The sequence below is a fragment of the Homo sapiens genome, chromosome 1 (assembly GCF_000001405.40).
Source record: "Homo sapiens chromosome 1, GRCh38.p14 Primary Assembly".
NCBI classification, from domain to species: Eukaryota; Metazoa; Chordata; class Mammalia; order Primates; family Hominidae; genus Homo; species Homo sapiens.
This window is the reverse complement of record NC_000001.11, coordinates 246,931,417-246,939,453: the sequence shown is the minus strand read 5'-3', so window position 1 is coordinate 246,939,453 and position 8,037 is coordinate 246,931,417. Positions and strand designations below refer to the sequence as shown.

At 46.3% G+C, this 8,037-nt stretch overlaps 1 protein-coding gene across 3 annotated transcripts in view, besides 2 other annotated features; it reads left to right on the top strand.

Moving 5' to 3' along the window:
* Positions 7,124–7,173: an enhancer, noted in NCBI's record as "active region_2863". NCBI's record gives its function as "activates an Ori minimal core promoter by ATAC-STARR-seq in GM12878 lymphoblastoid cells {active_cell/tissue: GM12878}" and the evidence as "EXISTENCE:reporter gene assay evidence [ECO:0000049][PMID:35858748]".
* The window catches only part of AHCTF1 (AT-hook containing transcription factor 1), a 92,851-nt gene continuing 92,319 nt past the window's right edge, over positions 7,506–8,037 (top strand). For all 3 annotated transcript variants that reach the window (NR_136586.2, NM_001323343.2, NM_001323342.2), the window contains exon 1: positions 7,506–7,876. The gene's annotated coding sequence lies outside the window, so the exon portion shown is untranslated. The remainder of the gene's footprint in view (positions 7,877–8,037) is intronic.
* Positions 7,854–7,953: a silencer, noted in NCBI's record as "silent region_2039". NCBI's record gives its function as "represses an Ori minimal core promoter by ATAC-STARR-seq in GM12878 lymphoblastoid cells {active_cell/tissue: GM12878}" and the evidence as "EXISTENCE:reporter gene assay evidence [ECO:0000049][PMID:35858748]".

Here is an 8,037-nt window from a genome sequence, read left to right as displayed (position 1 = left end):
GCAATGCCATTGACTGTAAGAAGCTTATAACTCTCTTGTGCCCTCTGGAATCCAACAGAACAACACCAGAAGGCAAGCATGAGTCTTGAGGTAAAGGTTGAAAATAAATAAAAAACGCAATGGTGTCTGAGTACACAGCTTCTAGTCAGCAATTGCAGGACAGTCACACGCTATGCAACTAGGTATTGGTCAACTACTGACTGCAAATGTAACTATGGTCCTCGAAGATTATAAAGGAGCTGAAAAACTCCTATTGCCTGGTGACATAGCCATCACTGACACCATACTGTAATTACTTGATTTCTTTATAAATGTAGTGTAGCCTACGTGTGCAGTGTTGATAAAGTCTACAGTAGAGAACAGTGAGTGTTCTAGGCCTGTGTAGCCTATGTGTGCAGTATTGATAAAGTCTACAGTAGAGTACAGTGAGTGTTCTAGGCCTGTGTAGCCTAAGTGTACAGTGTGGATAGTCTACAGTAGAGAACAGTGAGTGTTCCAGGCCTGTGTAGCCTAAGCGTACAGTGTTGATAAAGTCTACAGTACAGTACAGTAGCGTCCTAGGCCTTCACATTCACTCCTCACTCACTCACTGAGAGCAACTTCCTGTCCTGCAAGCTCCATTCATGGTAAGTGCCCTAGACAGGTGGACCATTTGTATCTTTCATACCACATTTTTACTGTATCTTTTCTATGTTTGGATGCACAATTACTCACCATTGTGTTACAATTGCCTACAGTATTTGGTGCAGTAACATGCTGCACCGGTTTGTAGCCTGGGAGCCATAGGCTATCGCATATAGTCTAGGTGTGTAGTAGGCTATACTATTCAGGTTTCTGTAGGTACACTCTGATGTTTGTACAACAATGAAATTGTCATTTCTCAAAATGTTTCCCCATCATTAAGTGACATGTAACTGTATTTCAAGAGCTGTCATTAAGGGTGTTCTTTGGGTTTAAGTAACAGAGAAATCAGAATCTGAATAGTTTTAGCCAAAACACACAGATTTGTTGTTGTTGTTGTTGTTGAGACGGAGTCTCGCTCTGTCGCCCAGGCGGGAGTGCGGTGGCGCGATCTCGGCTCACTGCAAGCTCCGTCTCCCGCCATTCTCCTGCCTCAGCCTTCCGAGTAGCTGGGACCACAGGTGCCCGCCTAATTAGCCCGGCTAATTTTTTGTCTTTTTAGTAGAGACGGGGTTTCACCGTGTTAGCCAGGATGGTCTCGATCTCCTGACCTCGTGATCTGCCCGCCTCAGCCTCCCAAAGTGCTGGGATTACAGGCGTGAGCCACCGTGCCCAGCCCACACATAGATTTTTTAAAGTAACCTTTGAAGAAAATAATGTGAAAAAAACGGAGAAGTAGAAAGAGGAAAAATTTTAAGGAACAGATTAATTGTGGTACCTGTTAATGACAAATATTACCAGTGTTTGGAGAAAGAAATATAATCTGGCTTTTGGGGGGGGGGTACCATTCACGCAAACAATTTTTCAAATGCATAAAGACTATGATGACAAAAATATTTTACAATTTAAATGTTTGTTATTACTTTTCTTCTTTTATGACTGTAGGTTTGATTTAATGTTGAAGGGTGGGCCAGGCGTGGTAGCTCATGCCTGTCATCCCAGCACTTTGGGAGGCCAAGGCGGGTGGATCACCTGAGGTCAGGAGTTCAAGACCAACCTGACCAACATGGTGAAACCCCATCTCTACTAAAAATACAAAAAAAAAAAAAATTAGCTGGGCATGGTGGTGCATGTCTGTAATCCCAGCTACCCAGGAGGCTGAGTCAGGAGAATCGCTTGAACCCAGGAGAAGGAGGTTGCAGTGAGCCGAGATCACGCTACTGCACACCAGCCTGGGCAACAGGGCCAGAGTCTGTCTCAAAAAAATTTTAAAAATTAAAAAATTTTAAAAATTAAAAATTAAAAATGTTGAAGGGTGGCAGAGGATGGCACCCCAAAATATGCCTTTTGGCATAAGGATTATTTTGAGCTAAAGGCAGTTGAGAAACGGCTGATACAAAAGGGAAACGCTGCCTTCCTTGTCCCAGGAGAGAAGAAACATTCTAGTCATCAGAGATGTGGAGTCAAGGCTGAGAAAAATCTGAAAAAAAGTTAATTGTTAAATTAACTTGTATCTTTAGCATCCCAACACATGTCCACAACCGTCACTCTTAGTTCAACCTACTATAGAAGCATTTAGGTTTTGTCATGTCTTTGGGTCTTCATTTTCCTATGGGGGCTCCCATGTACATGTAAAAATCTGTGTACTTTTCTCTGTTTTTAGAGATAAGATCTCGCTCTGTTGCCCAAGCTGGAGTGCAGTGGTCCGATCATAGCTCACTGCAACCTCAAACTCCCAGGCTCACGCTCAAGCAATCCTCCTGCCTCAGCCACCCAAAATATTGGGATGGCAGGTGTGAGCCACCTTGCCCAGCCCTTTCTCCTGTTATTCTCACTTGTGTCAATTTAATTCTCAAACCCAGCCAGAGAGCCTAAGAGGGTAAAGGTAAAGTTTTGCTGCCCCTACAATTTTTTTTTTGTTGTTGTTGTTTTGTTTTGAGACAGGGTCTCTTGCTCTGTCACCCAGGCTGGAGTGCAGTGGCACGACCACCGCTCCTGCAATCTTGACCTTCCAGGCTCAAGTGATCCTTTCACCTCAGCCTCCCAAGTGGCTGGGACTACAGGCATGTACCACCATGCCCGGCTAAGTTTTGTATTTTTTGTACAGATGGGTTTTTGCCATATTGCCCAGGCTGGTCTGGAACTCCTGGGCTCAGGTGATCTGCCTGCCTCATCCTCCCAAAGTGCTGGGATTACAGCTGTGAGCCACTGCACTTGGCTTATTTTTTAAACAAAACAAAAAATCCATCCCAAAAAATTTGTAGCAAATCATTTGACAATTCATTTCACCACCTATAAAATAAGGTGTTTGGCCTAGAATATCTCTAAGGTTCCTTATAATCTAATATGGCATATTTTGCTTTGTTTTTTTTTTTTGCATATTTTGCTTTGAATGATGAATTATTATTTGCTCAGTCACTAGACAATGATTTTAGTATTTACGCTCTGGCCATTGTGCCATCACTGGACATAGAGTGGGGAACAGGAAAAATATGATTGTTCATTCACCTAGTTTATTGTCAATTGGAGAAATCAAGGGTGGGCACTGCTTGCTATAACCAATCAACTGCACAAAAATGATGAACATGTACCTGTTAGGACAAAGACAGTTTTCTCTGCTCGAGACAGATAAGCTCCATTTTTGTTGTTGTTAAAGTAATAAGGCTTTCCCTGTTACTTTGCAAAACAATTGGAGATCTAACTCAGAACGCTTCAATGAAGTCCTGAATTCCCTGAAATCAGATGGCCGCTAGTCACTCCCAGGATGCTGGAATGGTATTAAAATATTGCCTCTTGGCCGGGTGCAGTGGCTCATGCTGTAATCCCAGCACTTTGGGAGCCCACGGCGGGTGGATCACTTGAGGTCGGTAGTTCAAGACCAGCCTGGGCAACATGGTGAAACCCCATCTCTACTAGAAATACAAAAATTAGCCAGGAGTGGTGGCACAGGCCTGTAATCCCAATGGGAGGCTAAAGCAGGAGAATCGCTTGAACCCGGGAGTCGGAGGCTGCAGCGAGCTGAGATCATGCCACTGCACTGCACTCCAGCCTGGGTGATAGCGTGAGACTCCATCTCAAAAATCAATCAATAAATAAAATTTTTAAAAATATTGTCTCTTGAATCAAATATTCCAGATGGAAGCATGAGGATTTGTACCAGTTATTATCCATTTCTAGGCCTTTTACCAACATAACTTAGGACCATATAGGTGAAAACGGAATGAGGTTCTAAGGAAGGCATGTACTTCCCTTTCATCTTTACAACAGTTCTGCAAAGAAAGTGACATTATCTTTTCTTCTTAGCTGAGAAAACAGGCTCAGAGAGTGAAGTAATTTCATAAAAGTCATGTTGCTAGAAAGTAGTGAAACGCAGTAAACCCAAGTTTGTCTGGCTCCAAATGATTTCATTATTTTCACCACAACATGCTTCTTCCAGTGAGAGAAAGCTTTGAAGCCGTGTTTACCAGAGTCTGTTCTGTGAAGCACTAATAAGGCAAGATGTTACACAAGTGCAAATGGATGCCATGGTCAAGCAACTCTGGGGAATGCCAAGCATATTAAAGCCAGTGAAGTCTTACAGAAAATACATTTTTATTTTTATTTAATCAGCTTTTCCCCCAAACTCATTTGATTACCAAATCTAGATTTTTCTTCATTTAACACTTATTAACATCTCTTGAAACCAATTAAAATAATCTGGTATTTGCTTAGTTAAATGTCTGAAAGAAAGAAGAAAAAGGATTGAATGAGAGCTTTAAATTGGAAATTCAGTTTGCAAAGCAACTAAAATAAAAAACTAGCAGTTATGGGGGAAGCATTTTAAAAAGATACAGTCTGTGCTCCCAGTGCAGCTGGGAGATGGAGATGGTGGGTGGATGGAGAGAGTCAGAGGCAAAAAGGGAAACAGACATGAAACAATTCAGACAGCATATTTCGCTCAAGTTTTTAGTGATTCATGTGGGCTGAAGCTGAAGAAAAGATTGGGAAGAGGAAAGAGGCTTGAGCTGGCCCCTGAGGGATGTTAAGATTTACTCAGGGAGAGAAGAGGCTGGGAGACACTGAAAGAGAAAACAGGTTTGGAGAGTTAAAAAACAAAACAAAACAAAACAAAGCTCAGGAACTATATAGGGAAATAAAATACGACAGGTAGAGTTGGTCTAGATTATGGACAATTACACAGGCCAGGCCAGTGTCTCACGTCTGTAATTCCAGCACTTTGGAAGGCTGAGTCCAGCAGATCACTTGAGCCCACAAGTTTGAGACCAGCCTGGGTAACATGAAGAAACCCTGTCTCTACAAAAAATGCAAAAATTAGCTAGGAGTGGTGGTATGCACCTGTAGTCCCAGCTATTTGGGAGGCTGAGGTAGGAGAACTGCTTGAGCCCAGGAGGTCAAGGCTACAGTGACCCGAGATTGTGCCACTGCACTCCAGCCTGGGTAACAGAGCAAGACCCTGTCTCAAAATAAGTAAATAATAAAAATATAGACAATGATACAGAAATCATTCTGTTGATAATGATGGAAAGGATTAAAATCTGAAAGACTATGTAGACAGTCAATCTGGATAATATGTGCAATTAAAATAGATTTTTGAATTTCACAACTGGAAGGGCTCTTAGAGCAAAGTTAATAAATATCTGTCTAATGAATCAGTCAATCCCTTGCTCTACACATCTGATAACTGAAGCCCAGAGAGGTCACTTGATTTTCCTAATGTCACACAGCTCACTAGCAGCACACCTGAGTTGATAATTCATGTCTTCTGACTATCGAGAGGTACAGTACTCATGAACTGGGCATAAAACAGTGCCAAAGAAAGTGTAGAATATGGAGCATGTGACATAAATCAGCACATCCAACAGAGGGTGGTTTCTGTTTGAAGAGATCTCTTTAAAATAATTAAGACAACGAACCCCAAACCTCCTACTGCAAAAGCAGTACTCTTTTTAACTGTTTCTATCACAACTTGGTCCAATACCTTGTGCAAACAAACATGATATGTATGGAGGTTGCTGTTACTAAAGAAACAAAAATTACAGAAAAAAGAAAATTACATTTCCAAAAGGCAGCATTATCTCTGAAAGAATATGGGCCAGGCATGATATCCATGCCTGTAGTCCCAGCTGCTCGGGAAGCTGAGGTGGGAGGATAGCTTGAGCCTAGAAGTTGGAGGCAGCAGTGGCACTGATGAGGCCATAGTGCCTGCGAATAGCCATGCACTCCAGTCTGAGCAACACAGCAAGACACAGTCTCTACAAAAATAAAAATAGGCTGGGCATGGTGGCTCATGTCTGTAATCCCAGCACGTTGAGAGGCTGAGGCAGGAGGATCTCTTGAGCCCAGGAGTAGAGACCAGCTTGGGTAACACAGTGAGACAGTCTCTACAAAAAATAAAAAATAAGGCCGGGCGCGGTGGCTCACGCCTATAATCCCAGCACTTTGGGAGGCTGAGGCAGGTGGATCACGAGGTCAAGAGTTCAAGACCATCCTGGCCAACATGGTGAAACCCTGTCTCTACTAAAAATACAAAAATCAGCTGGGCATGGTGGCGCACACCTGTAGTCCTAGCTACTCTGGAGGCTGAGACAGGAGAACCTCTTGAACCTGGGAGGCGGAGGTTGCAGTGAGCCGAGATTGTGCCACTGCACTCCAGCCTGGTGACAGAGCGAGACTCCGTCTCAAATAAATAAATAAATAAATAAATAAATAAAATAAAAAAATTAATGGGACGTAGTGGCGCATGGTGGTCCATGCCCATAGTCCCAGCTACTTGGAGGGCTGAGGTAGGAGGATCATTTGAGCCCACGAGTTCGAGGCTGCTGTGAGCCTTGATTACACCACTGCACTCCAGCCTGGGCGACAGAGCGAGACACTGTCTCAAAAATAAAAAAATTTAAAAAGCACATATGAAAGGTAACAGAAAAGTAGAAACTTTCCTGATAAAAGAGCATCTTCTTAAAATCCCTACTCTACCTCATGTTATAATCCTTTTACTTACTACTTAGTATTAAGGATACGTTCCCTATCTGTTTGAAACATGTTTGGCGCTGGGATTTGCTTCAAAGGAAGATACTAACAAGAAATAAGAAATTCCACAATGAAAACCCGCGGTGACCAAAAAGATAACAGTGATTTGGGGTAAAATTTTGACTAAAAAGATTAGGCTAGGCTGCGCGAGCATTTTTGGCCATGAAAGCACAGGAGGATGCTAGAAAAAACAGCACCGTGGAAAAAGCGTTTCCCCAGAAGTCTGGGAGCCCACCTTTGGCATGAAAAGCGGGAGCACAGGTTGTAGTGAGCCAAGATCGTGCCACAGCACTCCAGCCTGGGCAACAGAGCAAGACTCCGTCTCCAAAAAAAAGAAAAAGAAAAAAAGAAAAGTGGGAGCACAGAACAGAAAATACAGAATGCAAGCTGCCAATTATGGGAGAAAGATTATCACTCGGCCCCCAGCTGGCAGGGCCACACGATTACGTGACAAGAGAGTCCGCCTGCAATCGCAGCAGGCGGCTGGCAGAGCCCGGCGCGACCCCCAGCGAAGACTACCACTCCCAACTGCGCACGGGGCGCGCCGCCGGGGCCGCCAGGGCGGCTTCACGCGCAAGGCACTGTGGGACTCGTAGTCTTTCTCCCCACCAGCTCCTCGGAGGCGGAGAGACCCGATTTTTTTGTAAATGATCCGCCCTTCCAGGCCCTGCTTCTCTTTCCTCCCTTTCCCTCCCACCTCCTTCTTTCACCGAGAGTTTGAAAATTCCCGCGGAGCCGGCGCTAGAGCGCGGAACCATCGCGAGAACTCTGGTCCCTGCAGCCGCGATCTCCCGCCGGTTCTCCCCTCCCTCTCCGCCCTTTCCTCTGCTCCCTCCCTTCCGGGGCGTGTGGAACTCGGTTTTGTCGGCGCAGGGTAATGCGCAGAGCGGGGCCGGCGCTGTCCGAGGCGAGCAGGCAGCGTTGCAAGGGGAAGGACCCAGAAGCGCGGCGGGAGCAGCGACTGCGTTTTAGCCGCTGAGCGGTCTGCAGGCCTACAGCCCGCGAAGGCACTCTCGGGGGCGTGTGGCTCTGAGGTGGCCGGGGAGGTCGCAGGCGGCGGCCGGAGCGCAGAGGAGCGGCTTCAGCCGGGCGGAGGGGTGTGAGCCCGGCCCGTGGCGGCCACGTCTCCCGGGAGATGCTGTGACGGACCCGCACGGGAGGAGCTCGCGCCTGGCCTGGCGACCCGGTGGACTCGGCCCGCGGCGGCGCGCTCACCCGCCCCGTTCAGGTAGGGGGAAGGGAGGGAGGGGGTTGGGCCCGCGCGGCGGAGGGCGGGTCGCGCGGCCTGGACCCGCGGCGGCGGCGGCGGCGGCGGCGGCGGCGGCGGGGCTTCTGCCCCGCGAGCGCCGGGCCTAGGCCGGGCGTGCGCGGGGCCAACGGATGGGGCTC